Source organism: Homo sapiens, chromosome 8, assembly GCF_000001405.40.
Source record: "Homo sapiens chromosome 8, GRCh38.p14 Primary Assembly".
Classification (NCBI taxonomy): domain Eukaryota; kingdom Metazoa; phylum Chordata; class Mammalia; order Primates; family Hominidae; genus Homo; species Homo sapiens.
In genome coordinates, this window is record NC_000008.11 from 98,152,945 (window position 1) to 98,174,305 (window position 21,361).

The window sequence follows — 21,361 nt, forward strand, 5'->3', positions numbered from 1 at the left end:
GTCTGTCTCTGCCTTCATGGAGCTTATATTCTTCTTTTATTTTTTGAGACGGTCTCGCTCTGTCACCCAGGCTGGAGTGCAGTGGTGCGATCATAGCTTACTGCAGCCTCCAACTCGTGGGCTCAAGCAATCCTCCCATCTCAGCTTCCTGAGTAGCTGGGACTGTAGGTGTGCACCACAACTCCTGGCTAATTTTTAAATTTTTTGTAGAGACAGCGTCTCGCTTTGTTGCCCAGGCTGGTCTTGAACTCCTGGCCTCAAGCAGTCCTCCCATCCCAGCCTCCCAAAATGCTGGGATTACAGGAATGAGCCACTATACCTGGCCACGTAGCTTATGTTCTTGATGGAGGCACAAGTTTCTAGGCTGGTTGGGGGTACCCAGGAGAGGGGAGGGAAGCTAAAATGTAAGAGCGAAGTCCTTGGACAAGGAAGAAGGGGGGGATTCAGGGCACACGTGGAGGAGGCAGCATCTATTGGGATTGAGTTCAGTTCTTCTGAATATAAGACTGTGAGACTGCCACTGATACAGTTTAATCTGCTTTTATTTCTTTGGCTATCTTCCAACTAGATTTACAAACAGTTCTGACTCTTTTTTTTTTTTTTTTTTTTTTTGAGACAGAGTCTTGCTCTGTTGCCAGGCTGGAGTGCAGTGGCGTGATCTCGGCTCATTGCAACCTCCACCTCCCAGGTTCAAGCGATTCTTTTGCCTCAGCCTTCCGAGTAGCTAGGATTACAGGTGCCCACCACCATGCCCAGCTAATTTTTGTATTTTTAGTAGAAATCAGGTTTCACCATGTTGGCCAGGATGGTCTTGATCTTTTGACCTTGTGATCTGCCTGTCTCGGCCTCCCAAAGTGCTGGGATTAGAGGTGTGAGTCACCGTGCCCGGCCCTGGCTCTTAATCCTATTTTCCAAACCACTTTCTTTCTGTAATTCTTAAGTTGGCTAGTTCTCCTTCCTCAGAAAAATTAATATAAGGCTGTTAGCCTGCCACTGACATCTGAACATGGATTTATTTAGCTAGGTTAGATTCTGCAGTGGGGGGATTAAGTAGCACACTCCTGATTGTGACTGTCTTCATGAAAAAAGAGGCACAGCTATCAGCCAGCAGTAAGAAGGGGAGAGAGGCTGTTGGAGATTTGAGGAGAGAGGAATTGTAAGCAGTTTCTGGGAGAGTGGAAGACGGAATTGAGAGGAGAAACATGGGATCTGTAAGATGTAGAGGGCACCTACTTGAGATTTGTGTTTATAAAGGAAGACCGTTAAGAACCATCATGAGTTCTTCCTCCGCTGTGCTCTGCCACTCGGGCTGGCATGGGGTCATTGGAGAGTTGGCTGCGCCCAGGTCAGCTTTCCAGTGGAGGGAGTGGGGGTGTTTGTAGGGGAGGGACGGTGGTGTGAGCCATCTAGGCTGATGAAGAGCGAGGCAGCTGCTGCGAGCCGCAGGGAGGTGCTAGTGTAAATGGGTGGTTGGGGCATTGTTGTGGGAGGGTAAGTGGGTGGAAAACAGGAGGCATGGCTCTGAGAGCAGGATACTGACATCGCAGTTTGAAGCTGGAGCAGGTGTTGGCAGTGACCACACCTAAGGTATGAGCAGGGAGTGGGTGCTTGAGGTGGGGTGAAGTAAGACATGCGAAGTGAGGGTGGGAAGGTGACTGGTGGGTTATTGGAAGGATGATTTAGGCAGATGCTGAAGCCACTGGGAGTGACAAGAGTCATAGTGGTGCAGGGGAAGGCAGCATGACCGTCAAGATCATTAATTGCAGCCTTGTTTGGAGGAACAAAAGCTTAAAGACAATCAAAATGTCCTTTAATAGAGGACTGTCTAAATCAATTAGGGCATATTCATTCAGTAGAGTAAGATACAAGATACACAGCCTATTAAAAAGAAAGAATGAGGGAGCTTTCAGTACTGGTATAAAGTAATCAAGATATTTTGTTAAATGAAAAAAGTGAAGTTAAGCAAAAAGTACTGTACCTAGTATGCTGCTATTTGTATAAAAATAAATAAAAAGAAAGAAATATGTAATATCTGCTTGTGTGTACATAAGATGTCTCTGGAAGGCTATGTAAGAAACTGATAATGATATTTATTACCTTTGTGGAGGATAGCTGGGTCACTAGAGGTCAAGAGTAAGACAGAAACTTCATGTAGCCTTGAGCTTAGAACCTCGTAAGTGTACAGGAAAATCGTGGCACAACTCTAGGGGCACCAGTTCCTTGTAGCTTTCAGGAATGGATCCCCTGGTGTGGTTCAGTGGCCACATGGGGCTACATTGTTTATTGAAGACCAAAGAAAACAAAAAAGCTTGGCCAGTAGAATTGGTTATTATTATTATTTTATTTTTTATTTTTTGGAGATGGAGTTTCGCTTTTGTCAGGATAGAGTGCAGTGGCATGATCTTGGCTCACTGCAACCTCTGCCTCCTGGGTTCAAGCGATTCTTCTGCCTCAGCCTCCCTAGTATCTGGGATTACAGGCATGTGCCACCACACCCAGCTAATTTTTTTGTATTTTTAGTAGAGACAGGGTTTCACCATGTTGGCCAGGCTGGTCTCGAACTCCTGACGTGACGTGATCCATCCGCCTGGGCCTCCCAAAGTGCTGGGATTACAAGCATGAGCCACCATGCCTGGCCTATTATTATTATTTTCTGAGACGGAGTCTCACTCTGTTGCCCAGGCTGGAGTGCAATGGTGTGATCTCAGCTCACTGCAACCTCTGCCTCCTGGGTTTAAGTGATTCGTCTGCCTCAGCCTCCCAGTAGTTGGGATTATAGGCACCCTCCACCATGCCCGGCTAATTTTTGTATTTTTAGTAGAGCTTTCACCATGTTGGCCAGGCTGGTCTCGAACTCCTGACCTCAGGTGATCGCCTGCCTTGGCCTCCTAAAGTGCTGGGATTACAGGCATGAGCCACTGAGCCCAGCCTATTATTCTTTATCATATGTTTCTTGGAAAGCTTTTGTGTGTGTGTGTGTGTGTGTGTGTGTGTGTGTGTGTGTGTGTGTGTTTTAAAATAGAGATGCATTATAATGGTTATAATTATTTTAGTTTTCCAATCCTAAATTGTTCAACATTGGTTCTCCTGTATGTTTTTCTTTAGACGCCCTCCTGCAAAACGGCCCAACTACGTTAAGCTTGGCACTCTGGCACCTTTCTGCTGTCCCTGGGAGCAGTTAACTCAAGACTGGGAGTCAAGAGTCCAGGCTTACGAAGAACCTTCTGTAGCTTCATCTCCAAATGGTAAGGAGAGTGACCTAAGAAGATCTGAGGTGCCTTGTGCTCCCATGCCTAAAAAAACTCATCAGCCATCTGATGAAGTGGGCACATCCATAGAGCACCCCAGGGAGGCAGAGGAGGTAATGGATGCAGGGTGTCAAGAATCGGCAGGGCCTGAGAGGATCACAGACCAGGAGGCCAGTGAAAACCATGTTGCTGCCACAGGGAGTCACCTCTGCGTTCTCAGGTAAGTGTCGGTGACTTCTGGGTACATTTTGGATTATTTATTTTAATATTGAAGAGGCTACAGGATGTAAGCGTTATCACTGTTTGTTTATGCAAAATCCAAGTGAATTTATAGGCTTTCTGGAAGGGAAAGCCAGTCTTTTATATTTCATAGAGGGCTCAGGGAAACAGCTTAATAATATTTGATGTAAGGCATGATGCTAATTGATGAAATGATTTACAATATTGTCATCAATAGATCCAAGCCAAGGCAGTTTTTTTTCTGACATATTTTATGCAGTTTGAGCAAGGATTCTTTGCTTTAAATTACCAAATTAGATTTCTTCTAGTTCCTTTTGAATTATATGGATTTGTGTTAGAGCAGCAACCCATTAGATGTAATATAGTCCTAGCCAGAGAGGCTACCGGATACACTATGTTCTCCTCTCAGTATTGGTGTGGGCCAGGTTCTGCTCATCAGTGACCCTGCATTCTGTGCTTTGCTCTGATTTTTTTTTTTTTTTTTTTTGAGATGGAGTCTTGCTCTGTCACCCAGGCGGGAGTGCAGAGGTGTGATCTTGGCTCACTGCAACCTCGGCCTCCTGGGTTCAAGCGATTCTCCTGCCTCAGCCTCCCAAGTAGCTGGGACTACAGGTACATGCCACCACGCCTGGCTAATTTTCACCATGTTGGCCAGGCTGGTCTCGAACTCCTGACCTCAGGTGACCCGCCCACCTCAGCCTCCCAAAGTGCTAGGATTACAGGTGTGAGCCACTGCGCCCGGCCTGTGCTTTGATTTTTAAAAAGTGCTTATCCCTCTAGCCTTGTGCTTACTTTTCCGTATAGTAGCCTCATAATTTCCTATCATTCTTTCTTACTTTACATGTAACAGTCCCTTACAGTTCCTTTACTCATTGAAATCTTAGTGGCTCTTTATTTTCACCCTCACTGTGATTACAATCCTAGATTCTATCTCACTGTCTTGTTTTCCCTGCCTTCAACTTCTTAAATCTTTAGTCCCTGAGTTTCAGAATGGCAAACACATAAAAAGAAAAATATAAGTACTAAAATGTACTACAGTGTATTTCTAATTTTTAAAAAATTGTAGTTTTGATTCTTATATAGTATAAAAGAATCAAATTAATTCTAGCAGTGTCTAATCTTCTGATTGCATATTTTTTTCTGGAACAAAATATCCTCAAACGTATGTCTCCAACTTCATGTAGGAGTAGAAAATTACTGAAGCAACTGTCAGCCTGGTGTGGGCCCAGTTCTGAGGATAGTCGGGGAGGCCGGCGAGCTCCCGGCAGAGGCCAGCAAGGATTGACCAGAGAGGCTTGCCTGTCCATCTTGGGCCACTTCCCCAGGGCCCTGGTTTGGGTCAGCCTGTCCCTGCTCAGCAAGGGCAGCCCCGAGCCTCACACCATGATCTGTGTCCCAGCCAAGGAGGACTTCCTCCAGCTCCATGAGGACTGGCATTACTGTGGGCCCCAGGAATCCAAACACAGTGACCCATTCAGGAGCAAGATCCTGAAACAGAAAGAGAAGAAGAAAAGGGAGAAGAGGCAGAAGCCAGGACGTGCCTCTTCTGATGGCCCGGCGGGGGAAGAGCCCGTGGCTGGGCAGGAAGCTCTGACTCTAGGGCTGTGGTCAGGCCCTCTGCCGCGTGTGACGTTGCACTGCTCCAGAACTCTCCTAGGCTTTGTGACTCAGGGAGATTTTTCCATGGCTGTTGGCTGTGGAGAAGCCCTGGGGTTTGTTAGCTTGACAGGCTTGCTGGATATGCTGTCCAGCCAGCCTGCAGCGCAGAGGGGCTTAGTGCTACTGAGGCCTCCCGCCTCTCTGCAGTATCGATTTGCGAGGATTGCTATTGAGGTGTGAATGCGTGCTTGTATCCCAGCAGGGCATAGATAATACGTTATTATTGTCTGCCAAGTTCTACATGTGGAGAATCTGCTTCTGCTTTAAAATATCATGTGAAACTCCCTGGAAACAAGAATAAAAAATTATGTATTATGCAGATGATGAAATGTTTACATCATTCCAGTAATGTCATTGATTTTCATCTTTCCCTGTCCTTGCTGTAATACTTTTAAATTATTTGGCCAAAAGCTTTGTATTATGATCTCTTGGTCTGTGTAGTTGTGGCTGAAAATAATGAGAAGCTCTACGAGTTATCATCCCCTTTTTTTGTTAGAAACAAAGGGCTTGTCAGGTCTATTTGAAAAACCTCATAGTCATGTGATAAGCAACAATAGATGTTTAATGATTTCACTGTTATAGCAGAAGACAAGAGAAGACGCTTGGCCTCTGTACATGAAATATGGGCTCCTGATGGACCTCATTCAATTCTGTACTGTGATTTCCATGCCGAACAACTCAAGCCTTAAAGAGAGAAATCATGGACAACTGATTTCTGCCTGTTTTCAGGCAGGCACAGTTTATGGCGTCAGTGCTAGGCTGGAATTAGAAAGTGGGGGTCTATGACGTGGACTTCCTGACTCTTTGATCTCTTTGTTGTTGACCAACACTTGATCCTACTAGTTACTTAATTTTTTTAAGTAAAAAATTATTATTATTTTGTTTCTGCAAAGATTTTCTCAAAGCCATAGAGGAGCATTTCTCAGAATATGTTCTATGATATGTGTCACCTAAAAAAGTAAGAGATTCCAAGGTCAGGTTGATATGGAAACTCTAGGTTAAATAAAGTTAAGCATTTCTTTATGAAAGAACTTCTGGAAACTTCCATGTGATAATGTGCATTGCGGATCTCTAGGAAGGAAATGATAGTGTATAGTATTTTCTAAATACTTGTGATTCCTAAAGTTCTCTTACAAGGAGCCCTTTGTAGGACCAGTGTTCTTAGTAGCGCGCTTTGGGCAGTGTGGCTGTGTAGTGCATAGCTACCTCTGCAAGGTGATAACTAAGCCGGCAAGCTGCCTTTCAACACTCATGCAGTCACGTTGTCCACCTGAGATTCTCAACAGGGTATAAAAGGAAGGTCTCATCTTGCCTCACAGGAAGAGTGGGCTCAGTGTGGCTTTTTTCCAACTATGGAGAAACTCAGTGCTCATCTACTTTAAGTTTCCACATATGGCTTGCTCATAGCCTTGGTCCTTACCTTTCCTGCCATAACTTTCTAGAAGAGCTTAATGGGATTTTTTTTCTAAAAAATGTAAATATGCAGTTAGGCATTATTTTATGTAAATGCATTGGGTTTTTACTGTAGCATTTGGCACTAAATGGCTTTGGGGGTGATGAGGTGGGGAAGGATACAGCAGGTGGTACAGTAGTCAGGAAGTACCTGCCACCAATGAGATGTCTGATGCTTTGCCTCTTACCATGCCTCTGAATGTCTTTGGATCCAACCCAGATGAGACTGAAAAAAAAAAAACAGTGTAACTAAGTGGCATCTGTAAACAGAATAAATGAAAATGTCACCTGATGTTCAGTTGTGAATATTTATATTTATTGGACCATTCCTTATTTGTTTTCTGGGCTCTCAGTCACCTCATTTGTGGCTGAGCTCACTCGATGACAGAAGTCTGAGTGTGCTGCGTGGTCACCTAACCTCATTCTGTACAGCCCTGCCTAGGGCCTGCTGCCCCGCCCTCATTATAGGGGACAGGGCACGTTTGCAGCCACTCTGCCTGGTGGGTGGTAGGTCAAAGAGCTGCGCACCAGAAAGATAGATTAGCATTTCCCAAAATGTATTCCTGGGAGTACTAGTCCCTGCAGCTGTTCCTGGAGAAAAGTATTTTATGGCTAAATAAATATGGGAAAAGCTATATATGGTATCCTCCTATTATGATTCACAATGAATACTTGCAGAGTCAAAGCTCTGCAAAGCTCTTTAGGAAAGAAATCTGTCTTTCAGACTCCCACACACGTACCTTTTTTGGTTTTTGCATACCTATTGTCCAGAGAACACTAGTTTCACAGAAGATACGTTGAAAAACTAACAGACTCTGCAGAGGCAGTAAAGAATCCATGTTCCTTATGAAAAAGACTGATAGGGGAATGGCTTACTTTCTGGCAGTTGAATTGATTAGCGTGTTGATCTTGATCCTTCCAAGTGCCTGCCATGCTGTACTAGAGCTACATAGCTACCAAATAAGTGCAATGTGGCCCTTGTCCTCTTGTTGAGGGAGCAATGCTTTTAGGGTTCTTGAAGCATCCTGACCAACATGGTGAAACCCTGTCTCTACCAAAAATACAAAATTAGCCAGGCATGGTGGCGCATGCCTGCCATCCCAGCTGCTTGAGAGGCTGAGGCAGGAGAATTGCTTGAACCCGGGAGGCGGAGGTTGCAATGAGCCGAGATCGCACCATTGCACTCCAGCCTGGGTAACAAGAGCAAAACTCCATTCCAAAAAAAAAAAAAGAAAAGAAAAGGCAGAGTTGTGAGCTGAACACTTACAGACCAGCTATGCACTTGAGTTCTGTAAGAAACAATGGATTCCTTTTGGTGTTTATGCTCTAGTAATATTGTTCATATCAGTCATCCATATTCATCATAAAACAATTAGAAAATGAAGATGAGCAACAATAACAAAATTTAAATCACCTGGATTTTCACCATGCAATATAACTAGTTACCTTCTGTTATGTATCCTAGACGTTAAGATGTATGTGGGTAGTTTTCTTTTAATAACATAAGCCGTTGCTTATATAAAGAGCTATACCATGCAAGTGCAGCAGAGTGCATGTTACCAGTTTTTTTGTTGGTGCTTGACTGGCAAGAGCTTTAAGGATAATACTCCTTTTTTTTTTTTTTTTTTTTAAATGGGAAGTTAGTATGTAACCACCCATCATGTACTAAGTGTAGCATTGCCGTCTTGGCGGCCACATGCCTTGCGTGAGTTCTTTCTTCCCAACCAGTGGGAGGTGAGGGGGGCGGTTGACAAGCTATATGGACTCCCTCATAGTCTTAACTGGCCTACTCGTAGCCAGCCGATCTGAGGCCTGGGGAGCACAGAGATAGGTCCAGGATTGAGCTGTTTAGCAGAGAATACATAGCCTGTAGCAACTGTGGGCCACTCAAGCATCAACCCCAGTTTCACAGCGGTTCTGGTTATTATAGGCCTCCTGAGGACACAGAGGAATACAGGCACTGCCTTTTCTTTGGCAACAGCAGCTTCCAGTCTTGGCACCCTTCCCTTCCCCTCCCCTTCCCCTCTCCTTTCCTTTCCTCCCCTTCCCCTCTCCTCCCCTCCCCTCCCCTCCTCTCCCCTCCTTTCCCCTCCTCTCCCCTCCTCTCCCCTCCTCTCCCCTCCTCTCCCCTCCTCTCCCCTCCTCTCCCCTCCTCTCTTCTTCTCTCCTCTTCTCTCCTACAGTCTTACTCTGTCTGCCCAGTCTGGAGTGCAGTGTCACGATCTTGGCTCACTGCAACCTCTGCCTCCCGGGTTCATGCGATTCTTCTGCCTCAGCCTCCCGAGTAGCTGGGATTACAGGTACACGCCACCATACCCGGCTAACTTTTGTATTTTTTAGTAGAGACGGGGTTTCACTACGTTGGTCAGGCCGGTCTCGAACTCCTGACCTCAAGTGATCTGTCCACCTCGGCCTCCCAAAGTGCTGAGTTTCAAGTGTGAGCCATTGTGCCTGGCCTTTGGCTGCATTTTAGAATCACCCAATAGCCCAAGCTGCAGCCCAGAAATCAATCTTGGGTTGGGCCCAAGGATCAGTATTTATGAGCTCCCCAGGCCGTTGTGATGTGCCGCTCAGTGGAGAATCGCCGCTTTCGGAGGTCTGGCTCTTGGACCCTCTGCACCTTGGGGAAGTGTGACTGAGTAACAAGGCCATGGAAACCCAAGAACTCCTGTGCCTGTAGCAGGCCTGCTTGCCATTACGAAAAAGTACATGTCTGCAAAGTCCGCTCACACGGTCTGTTGACTGCATGGTGAAGCGTCCAGGTGGGAACGTAATGAGAGCGTAGTGTCGAGGGCTGGGTGGCCCAGAGTCAGGGCTTCCACCTGGGGAAGAGGCCTGGTAGTGAAAAAGAAAACAGCCTCATTACTTCTGTAGCCTTCTCTACTTGAGAATATCAAATGAGGTCTCTTGTTTTTCTTTTGGTGAGTATACTTCCAGACCAGCTGTTCTCAGCCTTGGCTGCACATGGGAATCACCTGCAGGCTTTCAAAGCACTGGTGCCCAGGGCCTACCCTCCTGGGATGAAGCTTTAACTGGTCAAGGGTGTGAGCTAGACTTTGGGGGTTTTAACAGCTCCCAGGTGATTTGCAGCCAAGGTTGAGAACCACTCTTCCAGACTTTAAAAATGAGGTTCCAAAATAAATAATCAAAGATGCAGCTTATCAGTAATGGGGACCCTGAAGCAGGGTGTGGGGAGCAGATGCAGCTCTCTTGAGTGGGGCACACAGCTGTGACCCATGGCCCTGGTAGGGGCCTCCTGGACTTGGGCACGTGGCCAAGTTCATGTCAAGGCATTTTCCCTCTCCCCATGTTTTGAAAATTTAAATTTAATTAGATATTGTTCTGGAAGAGCCCACCCTAACCATTTGTGTGCTTTCACTTGAGGAAATGTTTACGAACATGGAACTCCCCTCGTTTCTCTCTCCAGTCCTACTGCGCCCCTCTGGGCTAACCCACTGGGCTCTGAACATGCTGGCCTCAGCTCCTTGAATGGCCAAGCTCTTGGCTCCTCCACGATTGTCCACATGCAGAGGCTTTCTCTGCCCACCATTTATTTTATTTTATTTTTTATTTTTTGAGACAGTGTCTTGCTAGGTCTCCCAGGCTGGAGTGCAGTGGCGTGAACATGGCTTACTGTCGCCTTGACCTCCCAGGCTCAAGTGATCCTCCTGCCTCAGCCTCCTAAGTATCTGGGAGCCACACATGCGTGCCACTACACCCAGCTAATTTTTTTTTTTTTTAAGACAGTCTCGCTCTGTTGCCCAGGCTAGAGTGCAGTGGCATGATCTTGGCTCACTGTAGCCTCCACCTCCCGGGTTCAAGTGATCCTCCCACCTCAGCCTCCTGAGTAGCTGGAATTACAGGCAGGTGCCACCATACTTTGCTAATTTTTATATTTTTTGTAGAGACAGGCATCTCACTATGTTGCCCGGGCTGGTCTTGAACTCCTGACCTCAAGTAATTCACCCACCTGGGGCTCCCAAAGCGTTGGGATTATAGATGTGAGCCACCGCACTGGCCTTGCCAATCCTACTTAAAATAGCCTCTTCCTGCTTACATTACTCTATATCACACAATGGGTTTATTTCCTGACATCACAATGTATAGCAATTAATTATTTTGTTGTTTACATGTTTATTGTCTAGTCCATTAGAATATGAGCCTCATGAAGGTGAGACCATGTCTTGTTTGATTAATGCTGCACCCCAGGTGATAGCACAATGCTTAACCCGTAACTTGTATTTAATACATTTTTGTTGAATTGATGCTTTAATCAAAAAGGGTGTATGTATTAAACTTTACAGTTAATACTCTTGTTGGCCAGGCACATGTTGTAATGAACAAAAGAGCCCACTAGGTGGTGCCAAGACCTCATGAGTAAACAGCCTACTCAGGAAAAAACAGCGGAAAAGCACAATTCAATGTCCTTGGACTGGGGGAGTTTGTGAGGTCACTTATCAGTTGACATTCCCCCTTTTTGGGGCAGACTTATACTAACAGAATCCTAGTTTGAAAAGGATCCGTGATTTTTAAAGAGGTGCCTAGAAAAGGAACAACTTTAGGCTGGGCGTGGTGGCTCACACCTGTAATCCCTGCTACTCAGGAGGCTGAGGCAAGAAAATCGCTTGAACCTGGGAAGCGGAGGTTGCAGTGAGCCAAGATCGTGCCACTGCACTCCAGCCTGTGTGACAGAGTGAGACTCCATCTTAAAAAAAAAAAAAAAGGAATAACTTTAAAAGCTTTATCCAAAGAATGAATCCCATCCACATTATCCCCAGTAAGTCTACCCCTCTGCATCACAAGCTGAATGCCTCCGATGATGGGGAGCTCATTACTTCACCGGGAGATGCCATCTCCACTTTGGCAGCATACCGACGGGTGAAATGGCCCTTCAGCTCCAGGTCAGTCCTATCTCCCTGCATTCTTACATCAGCTAACATTGAGAAGCACCCATTTATTTTTATGAAGTTGGTTATTAACCTTTTCTCCAGGCTAAACAAGCCTTGTTTCTTTAGCTTTCCTTCTCTTGTTTCCAACGTCGCACAGAGGACCTTAAATTATTTTTTGGACTCAACATAATTTGTTCTCAGAAACCTGCACAGCTGCAGTGAGCCTCAGGCAGGGGCTGTGGCTTTAGGGAGAGCCTCTGGTGTTCTGGGTCACTGTGGGCCAGCCCTCTCTGAAGTCTGCAGCCTCCTCCTTCCTTGTTCTGCAGGATTTAGCCACTACCACTGGAGGGCATGGGTTAGTCAGGTTTTTCTCTAAAACAGAGCCTGGCATGGCTTTCATGTAGGGAGTTTATTTTAGGGAGGCTGGGAAAGTGAACCAGGAAAGGAGGAAAGCCAATCCAAGTGTGCATTGTGAGCTGGTTACCCTTGGAGGCAATTGGGGCTCCATCCCTCTGGGGACAGTCTGATGAATGGAATGCTTTGTCTACATGAGGCCCGGGAGAGGAAAGTCTTTATTTACCAGCTCCCATTCCTATTGCCTAAATGAACAGTTCCCCCAGGGACTGTTCATTTCCGCCAGGTTTGCACAGGTGCTAGAATGGCTTGGCCTGCTCAGTGAGCATCTCACGGAAGGCAGGCCAAGAAGCCCCAGGGGCAGAAGACTAGGGGTGGCTAAGGCAAGGTGCCCTTGGCCTACGCCTGTGCCCAGCCAGTTGCTGCAGCAAGGGCTGAGCACAAAGTGGGTCAAGGGAATGAGAGACGGGATAGATGTCCAGCACAGGGCCCTCAGAAGACAGGGTGATTATTTCCTGTTGTCACTTGTGAAGCATGTGTATGTGCACACTGTATACACCAGGTGGAGGGGTGTCTGGAGCCACATTTCTGTGTGTGTGTGCACGTGCACACTTGTATACACAGGGTGGTAGGGTGTCAGGGAGTGCCTGATGAGCACCCTGGAACACATGCCAGAGGTCGGCATGTAGACTCTAAAGTTGATTTTGCCAAAGAGTGGGGCAGTTATGGTTCAGCTGCACAGCAAGCTCTCAGTCCCAGGGGCCTGTGCAGAATTCTAGTTCCCATTGTATACCTGCAATGATCACTAGGAAACAAGCCCCAAGACTGTTGTCTGGTAAGAAAATGACCAAGTGGAGATTCTGGGGCTGGCTTTGAAACCAGCTTTACCATCATTCTTTTTTTTTTTTTTTTTTTTGGGTTGGGGGGAGGGTCTTGCTCTGTCACCCAGGCTGCAGCAGTGGCACAATCTTGGCTTACTGCAACCTCCGCCTCCTGGGCTCAAGGAGTTTTCCTGTGTCAGCCTCCCACGTGGCTGGGACCATAGGCGTGAGCCACTATGCCTGGCTAATTTTTTTATTTTTTGTAGAGACAGGGTTTTGCCATGTTGCCCAGGCCAGTCTCAAACTCCTAACTCAAGTAATCCTCTTGCCTTGGCCTCCCTCCAAAGTGCTGAGATTACTATCATTCTTGATCAATTAGCTTGCAGCTTCCTTTCGGCTCAGCTCCCACCCACGTCATTTTTTTCTCTTCGCTCACCTCCCACCCACGTCATTTTTTTCTCTTTTAACTCAGCAGTTCTCCTCTCGGCTTCCCTTATATCTGCTACTCAGTTTATCTGTTTCTCAGTCAAGTGAGGGAGGTTGGAGAACAGTCCGGATATTTCAAGTATGGCTTTAGGACCAGCAGCATCAGCAACAGAAATGCAGAATCCCAGGCTCCACTCAGACCTGGAATAGAATCTGCATTTGAACAAGATCACCAGGTGGTTCGCATGCACAGGAAAGGTTCAGGAGCAGTGGGCCACCAGTGGTTTCCAAACCTCATTATCATCAGAGCACCTGGGGAGCTTGCTAAACTCACAAATACCTTGGCATCGGTCCCGAGAGATTCCAGCCCGACTAGGTCTGTAGGGTGGCCCTGAAACCTGTGATTTTTATTAGGCTCCCAATGTGATTTCATGGGATCATGTTTGAGAATCACCAGGAAAGATAATCTTTTGAATTTTTTTTCCACTTGTAAGATTCTGATATTTTTGCCAGAATTGACTGTTCAGAAATTTGAATGTCACTCTTTTTGGGTGTTATGAATTAGGGCACAAAAGTTAAAATTTTTTTTTTTTTTTAACATTGAGATCTGGATCATTGTAGGCCTTTTCCTCCTTTCTCTCTTTCTTTCCTTTCCTTTTATTTTTTTTTAAACAGTGAGGCCTAGCTTCTGGTTGCTGAAGACTGAATATTCTGGCCGGGAACTTGTCTTTCTTCTAACATCTAGCAGCTGCCCCTTTACGTAACTTCTGGGTATTTCACCATGCCCTGTAGGCTCCCACGGCATCACACTTCTGCAGGGACATGTAAGTTCTGGTGGAGCCTGGGATGGCATTTTGCCACCCTCGTTCAGCTGCTAGACACTGGAGGGGATGTTTCTGAGACACCCTGTCCTGACTCTCTGTGTGGCTGTTGAGAGATGAGGCCTGGGGGAACTGCAGAGGGCGGACAGAGTGTGTTTTCTTCCGGTCTTGGCATCTTGGAGTCATTCCTGTCCCGCTGCGTCACCCCACACAAGCCTGAGTGACCTTCGAGAAAGTAACCTCGATCCTTTGCCCTGAGAGCCTTGGCTGGGGCATCTGGAGGCACCCCCACCTCCCATGGCTGGGCATCATGAGAGGAGAAAAACCTGCCGGATGGGGCACTAACTGGCCCCAGGGAGCACAGGGCACTTCCAGGTGAGCAGAGAGAGGATGAAGACCTCAAGGGCACCCCCACCAAGCTGAGATGTTAGAACGTATCGGAGGCTCCAAACCAATAGAAAGCCTTCCTTAGAAGGTCCTCCTGAAGCGGAGGGTCCCCTGCAAAGCCTAAGTAAGTGTCTCATCCCATACATTTCCTTTTTGAGTCACTAATTGTTCTCTGCCTGTGAGGGGCTGTAGAGCTCTCTTTGTGGAGCAGGGAGAAAAGGTAGAAATTTCTTCTTACTCAGGGCAGAGCGTGGCTCCCGCAAACACTTGTTACTGGCTCAGGGGCACCCTCCAAGGCAAAGCAAGTGGCAGGCAAGGGGAAGCTGGCCTTCAGCATGGGGCCAACATCACTCACAGAGCTGCCTGGCTCTGCCCCTCCACCCTGAGGCCAGGGGCAGGGGTGGCTGTGGTCTGGGCCTCCACCGTGCTCCCAAGCAGAATCTGCGGACCCTCCCCTAAGTCTGGAGGGCATTGGGGAGTGGTTGGAGGGGAGTGTCTGTCCCTACTGTGGTGACCACAGAGTCAAGCTGGGAACAGAGACAGCTAGGGTTCCCCAAACGCCAGCATGAGACCCCCATCCTCATAGTCACCAGTGCTTCCTCAGACTCCATCTCCCTGAGTGTGAAGAAAACACAGTTGTTCCACCAGCGTGGCATTTGGAATGGCTTTTAACATTTTCAACGGCTTTAATCAGTCATTAGGAATAGAAGACAGGGACACTGACTGAGTCTTCCCTACACAGGCTCCGACTTGTCCTTAGGCAGCTCGAGGACAACAACAACTCCCTGCTTCAGGGCCATGTGTAGAGTGTCGAGGATTTTGACCCCTGGTCTGGCACAGGAATCCGGTCTTTCTCATCCTGACGTTTTCCTCAGAAAGATGGCCCTGGAGTCCTGATAGATTTATTTTGTTTGTTTTTCTCTCTCTTTAATTCTGCCCTGATATGCTGCTGTTATTTTCGACTAGAGCACCACCCAAGCCATTCATCTTTGCCTAGTTAGGCAGCTATGAAAGGCCCATGTTTACGTCTACCAATTGGCCCGCTCTTGTCTGAAACATCAGCCAAAAGCAAAACAATGAAACATAGGCACACAGCTGTCCCGCACCCAGAAAGGCGTGGGTACACCACACGGCGATCTCCTCTCAGGTGAGAGGTGGCAGCGAGCAGTGACCTCTCCTCCCGCTCTGCTCTGCCGTGGGTCGGCCTTTGGAGCCTCTGCAGGTTGAATTCTTTTAATCTGGCTAGTGAACGGCCGGGCTCCCCGCCCGCCGTGCTCTGCGCCTGCCGAGCTCCTGGCCCTGCGTGCAGCGTTTTGGGCACAGTGATTCAGTCCCCACTGGGGATTAATGCTAATCTCCTGTTCATATGATCGAGTTAAGAGTTATTCTTTCCATCTGTCACGCCCTGGGGCACAGTTCTGGGTCCTTTCTTCCTCCTCGGAGGTCTCTGAGGGCAAATGGTGACACCCCTTGGCCATGGACGTCCACAGAGTGGCAGTGGGCAGCTTCCCCACAGGGCAACTGAAAGGCATGGGGAGGGACCAGTATGTGGCTGAAAGGCCCCAGAGCAGGCGTCTTGACCCACCCTCTCCGTCGTTTTGTCAAGGAGGAAACTGAGCCGCAGAAAGGGGGTATCATGTGTCCAAAGTCACCCAGTCACACCACTGCTTAGTAGCAGGGCCAGGACCAGAGCCCAGGCCTCCTAACAGTGCTGGGTGCTTCTCAGGACAAACTTTTTGTCTTTTTAGTTTTTTTTTTTGTTGTTGTTTGTTTGTTTGTTTGTTTTCTTGAGACAGAGTCTTACTCTGTTGCCCAAGCTGGAGGGGAGCGGCACAGTCTTGGCTCACTGCAACCTCTATCTCCTGGGTTCATGCAATTCTCATGTCTCAGCCTCCCAAATAGCTAGGATTACAGGCTAGCGCCACCACACTCAGCTAATTTTTGTATTTTTAGTGGAGATGGGGTTTCACCATGTTTTTTAGTTTTTTTTTTGTTGTTTGTAGAGATGGGGGTCTTGCTATGTTGTCCAGGCTGGTCACCAACTCCTGGGGCTCAAGGGATTCTCCCGCCCTCAGCCTCCCACTATGCCTGGCTGAACTTTTTGAATAAAGCATTTTTTTCCCCCCAGAAAGAGGGTCTAACATCCATAAGGGAAAAGAGCAGTTTGCTGTCTTGGACTTAACACTGTGTCTCCTCTCTCTTCTCTCTTTTGACCTTCCCAGCTTTCCTTCAGCATTCTGCCCTCTGCATCTTCTTTCAGGGGGCTCCTGGAATGTTGGCAAGCACAAAAAGGCACGGCTTCAAGCCCATCATTCCCTGGCTGAAAGACCTCGGGCCAGTGCCTTCCACTCTCTGAGCCTCAGTGTACTTGTCAATAAAATGGAAATATTAATGTTCACCTCACTAACCTGAAGCAAGGCTCTGATGGAGCAACAGAAGCATAGGTGCTTTGAATTTGTATTTGTTGAACACTTGCTATGTGCCAGCCATGGAGCCTTAGCTTATTTTATATGAATTGTGTCTTTTAATACAGCGATTCTGGGTTCTATCATCCCCATTTTACAGAGAGGGAGACTGAGGCCCGGCGAGGTGAAGTAGCTCTGCAGGGTCCGAGCTAGGGAGTGGTTGGGTTGGGCTCAAACCCCTCTCTGCCAGCATTCTTTACCAGCATGCTCTTCAGTAAGGGATTACCACGTCCTGTCTTTGTCCCTTTCTCTCACATGTGCCTTGAATTCTCATTGTCACCTCCCACTCATAATCTGACAAGCGGGGCTTAGGATGTCAGGACCCCAATAACCATGGTGAAGCAGTGCCGGGACATTGTAGGAGACTTTATAGAGGGAAGGAGGTCGGCTGAGGATGCCAGCCCCAGAAGGGGTGACAATGGCGGGAGAGCGGGGCTCCCCGGTGTAGTCCGGGAAGGTGCAGTTCCCAGGTGTGACCGCGGGGTGGCGCGGTGCGCCGGCGCCGGCGCTTGCAGACTTCCCGGGAGAGAAACCTCCGTGCAGCCCTGGGGCTGACGTGGATGCCACCCTGGGGTGGGCATTCAGTTTTGTTTGTTCCAAACTGCAGCCCAGCAGGAGACCTGTGTTCCTTTCCATCCAACAGGCGTTTGTAGGGGCTCCAGGCGCAGCCCAGGCCCTCGGCTCAGGAAACCCAGGGGGCTACATGACCAGGTCTGTTTCTGCCTCTGGGAGCGCACATTCGCCTGGGGGACGGTGGCAGACGCCCCCACACACGCTCCCTTCTAGATGAATATGAAGAAAGCAGGGCATTTTGCCATAGCCTTAAAAAAGAAAAGAAAGCTCGCATTTTCTGTACCGAGAGTAAATGACACCTTCACGCTTTCCCAGACCCTCACCCTATCCCTGGAGCCACTCGGAGTGACCCAGCCTCAACAGAATGTGGCATCTGAGAATCCCAGGCCTTCCTTGAAGGTTCTAAAAACCAGCAAAGGGCCCTGCTACACACATCCCACCATTCATAACCAATTCCCCGCATCTCCCCTGGGGCACCCTGGCTCATTCAACCTGGCAAGCTCTACTTCTTCCTCAAAATGCTGCTCATCCCACCCTTTTATAGTGTTGCGTTTCCTGAATCCTTCGGAATGAACTGCTGCCTCCTTGGTGTTGTATATGCTCCCGCTCCCGGAATTGTGCATTTACCATGTAGGTCAGTTTCCACATCTGCCCTGCAAGAATAAAATGTCCATGAGGACAGGGTCCCTGGGCTTGTATCCCCAGCACCTGGCACAGGGCCAGGCTAGTAGAGCGTGCTTATTAGGCACTTGTCCAATTTTAAAAATTGATAAGTAGTATTTTTGCATATTTATGGGATACATATGCTATTTTGCAACATGCATAGAATGTGTAATGATCAAGTCGGGGTATCTGGGCTATCCATCACCTCGAGTATTTATCATTTCAATGTGTTGAGAACATTTCAAGTCCTTACTTCTAGCTCTTTTGAAATAAATATAGAATACATTGTTGTTTACTGCAGTTACCCCACACTACTTGGAGAATGCACACATGATTTTTAAGTTATTAGCTAATTCAGTTCTAACAAAAACCCTATGTACTTGGTATTATCTACATTATTATTATTATTTTTGTAATCCTGGAAGATTATCTGCATTATTTTATAGATGAGGCAATGCTGGTTGCTGCAAAAGAGAAAGCCTGAAATCTCAATGGCTTAACACACTCAGAGGTTCTATCTCACATCACAGCCTGTGTGAGTTGGGCACCTTCTTCCATCTTCATGCTAATTCATCTAGCATGCATGTCTCCAAAGCTCCTGGTTTAGTCTGCTTGAGCTGCTGTAACAAAATACTATGGACTGGGTGACTTAAACAACAGACATTTATTTCTCACAGTTCTGGAGGCTGGGAAGTCCAAGATCAAGGTGCCAGTAAATTTAATTCCTAGTGAGGGCCCTCTTCCTGGGTTACATGTGTCCTCACATGACTGAATGAGAGAAAACTCTGGTCTTTCTTTCTCGTCTTACAAGAGCACTAATCCCGTCATGGGCCCTACCCACTAATCTCATCATGGGGCCCTACCCTCATGACCTCATCTACACCTAATTACCTTCCAAAGGCCCCACCTCCAAATACCGTCACATTGCAGGTCAGGGCTTCAGTATGTGAATCTTAGGGGACACAAACATTTAGTTCATGACAGCTGCCACTACAAGGGCATGTGGGCACTAAGTTGCCCTGGCCAGAAGTCACTTCTGTTCACAATTCATTGGCCAAAACTAGCCATACTGCCCCAGTATAAAGACCAGGGGGGCTGAGAAACGTAAGAAGCACAGGCATAGTGGGTGGGCGCCATCCAACTCTGCCACGAAGCCACACACACCTGTGCATACATGCCCGTATCCACAAATGCACACATATCCGCATACATATGCATACACAAGGGTACATACCTATCAATCATGCCCGAACACATGTAATAAATATTACAGTGACCTACATAGACACATGGAGCCTGCAGAACATCATGTGTCCAACAAAAAGCACATGCAAAATAATCCCCATGTGAGAAGGGCTGCATTTCTTAAAGAAGATTTTTTTTCACCATTATTGGCAAAGTTGTATGCTTAGGACTGAAAAAAAAAGATGTTTTGGGAGAAAAAGAACAGCAGGCAAAAGCAATGGCAACAAAGAAGAGATGATAATGTTCTCTCTGTTTTTGAGGATAATAGAGTTCTGGAGGCAAGCAGTTCTTGGGCGGTTCATATAGAGAGTAGTGAGACATAATCTTTGCAAGATTTAGCTTGAGAGCCAGAGACAATTGTTTTATTTCTTATAACTATTTTGCATATATATATAGAAACAAGAGAGGCAGGCAGAGGGGATGATACACCCACTGCCTCACCGCTGCTTTGTGGCGCCGCAGCTGTGTGGGTGTTGATGCCGCCACAGAGGTTAAACGCGACTTTGGGGAGGTTACTTGATGACATTTTGACATTGTGGAGACTGGAGGTGACACATTTGTGTGGGAATTAAAATATTTGGACCAATTATATCAATAAACATGACTTAAGGGGAAAAACAGCAAAGATTGGCAGCCCCTGGCATTGATTGATCTCGCGTTCTCTCTCTCCAGGAGATCTAGAGTGAGTGTGGGGGACAAAGGCCTTCTTTTGCTGGGGCATTTCTGGTCCTGCTCAGGGAGAATGAGCTTCCCTGGGAGTTTTGGATTTCACTTCAACAGTTCAACCCAATTTGATCAATATTCATGGAGTGACTCCTGTGAGCCTGGTACCTCTCTGGGTGCTCAGCCCCCAATGTTCTTGTAGTTTCTGCCTGCAGGGAGCTTGCGGTTTGGCAGGAGAGAGAAGACATGTGCTTTAATATCTGTAAGCCAGAAGAAAGTGGGGAATTCTGCAGAGATGGGCGGGGCGGCGGGTTGTGTGGAGTTAATGGGGAGTGATTCAGAAGTCTCCAAAGGAGGTCTTGGAAAGTGGGTAGGATTTACTCCTCTGGACCTGAGAAGAACATACATGAAGGCATCCAGGAGTTGTCCAGGGAGTGCTGCAGGGTGCAGCGGACTCCAGAGGTCAATGAAAAGGTTGGGAGGGAGGCTGGAGCCACAACTTGGCGGCTCTGCCTGCCATGACATTCAACGTCCCCTGTACCATCAGAAGCCCCCACATCAGCTGTTTAGGAAGCTGCATCTTGTAGTGGGGCCATGGCTGACTGGAGGGAGGAAGGATCAGAAGCTGAGACAAGAATTTAAGAGGGGTGGTGGGCGTGGTTGCGGGGGGGAGAGATGGGGACAGGGGTTTATCCCTCTGGGGTCTTCCCTTGGAATCCAGGCAGCAGCAGCAGGGGCAGCTGCTTGAATGAGAAGGAAACATCATGACTGTCAGCAGCAGCCAGCCTTACGCCTCAGAGTGTCTACCTTGTGTGAGGAACTGTACCAAAGGCTCTCCCAAGGTAGCTGAGAATCAGGGAGCCCAGCTTACCCCTCCAGCAAGTTTCTTGATGTTTTTAAGGCTCAGTTTCTTCATCTGCAAAGTGGAGCAAGTAATAGCAACTGTTCGTTAAGCACTTACCATATGTCAGGCAGTTGGTTTCTGAGCCTGTGCTGTTAGCCACAAAGCTCTGCTCCTTAACGCTGCCCTGTGAGCCTGGGCTAGGGGTAAAGCAGTTAGCATAGTCTGGCACATGGAGACTCCTCTGGTAAGTTATGGACTGTTGCGGACTCAGTATGCCCCCAAGAATTCATAGGAAGCCCAGCTCCCAATGTGATGGTATTTGTATTTGGAGGTAGGGCCTTTGGGAGGGCAGTAGGGTTAGATGATATCATGAGGGTGGGGCCCTCATGATGGGATTAGTGCCCTTATAAGAAAAGACACCAGAGAGCTTGCTGTGTCACCCACCCCCAATGTAAGCACAAAGAAAGGTCATGAGAGCACATAGCCAGATGGTGGCCTCCTGCAAGCCAAGGGAAGAGGCCTCAGAATGAAACCTACCTTGCCGACACCTTGATCTTAATCTTGGACTTCTCAGCCTCCAGAACTGTGAGAAATAAATTTCTTTTATTTAA

At 47.5% G+C, this 21,361-nt stretch overlaps 1 protein-coding gene across 3 annotated transcripts in view, besides 3 other annotated features; it reads left to right on the plus strand.

The window, feature by feature from the left end:
* The window catches only part of POP1 (POP1 ribonuclease P/MRP subunit), a 42,543-nt gene extending 35,652 nt beyond the window's left edge, over nucleotides 1-6,891 (plus strand). For all 3 annotated transcript variants that reach the window (NM_001145860.2, NM_001145861.2, NM_015029.3), the window contains exons 15-16: nucleotides 3,106-3,468; nucleotides 4,673-6,891. In NM_001145860.2, coding sequence (NP_001139332.1) covers nucleotides 3,106-3,468; nucleotides 4,673-5,327 — 1,018 coding nt within the window. In that variant the 3' untranslated portion in view covers nucleotides 5,328-6,891. The remainder of the gene's footprint in view (nucleotides 1-3,105; nucleotides 3,469-4,672) is intronic.
* Nucleotides 11,741-11,840: a silencer, noted in NCBI's record as "silent region_19395". NCBI's record gives its function as "represses an Ori minimal core promoter by ATAC-STARR-seq in GM12878 lymphoblastoid cells {active_cell/tissue: GM12878}" and the evidence as "EXISTENCE:reporter gene assay evidence [ECO:0000049][PMID:35858748]".
* Nucleotides 12,680-13,879: an enhancer, noted in NCBI's record as "P300/CBP strongly-dependent group 1 enhancer chr8:99177852-99179051 (GRCh37/hg19 assembly coordinates)". NCBI's record gives its function as "activates an origin of replication core promoter dependent on BRD2, BRD4, P300/CBP, MED14 and CDK7 cofactors, with strong dependence on P300/CBP, by STARR-seq in HCT116 cells {active_cell/tissue: HCT116}" and the evidence as "EXISTENCE:reporter gene assay evidence [ECO:0000049][PMID:35650434]".
* Nucleotides 14,252-14,863: an enhancer, noted in NCBI's record as "H3K27ac-H3K4me1 hESC enhancer chr8:99179424-99180035 (GRCh37/hg19 assembly coordinates)". NCBI's record gives its function as "activates a minimal SCP1, AML or CMV promoter by ChIP-STARR-seq in naive H9 embryonic stem cells {active_cell/tissue: H9 hESC(naive)}" and the evidence as "EXISTENCE:reporter gene assay evidence [ECO:0000049][PMID:30033119]".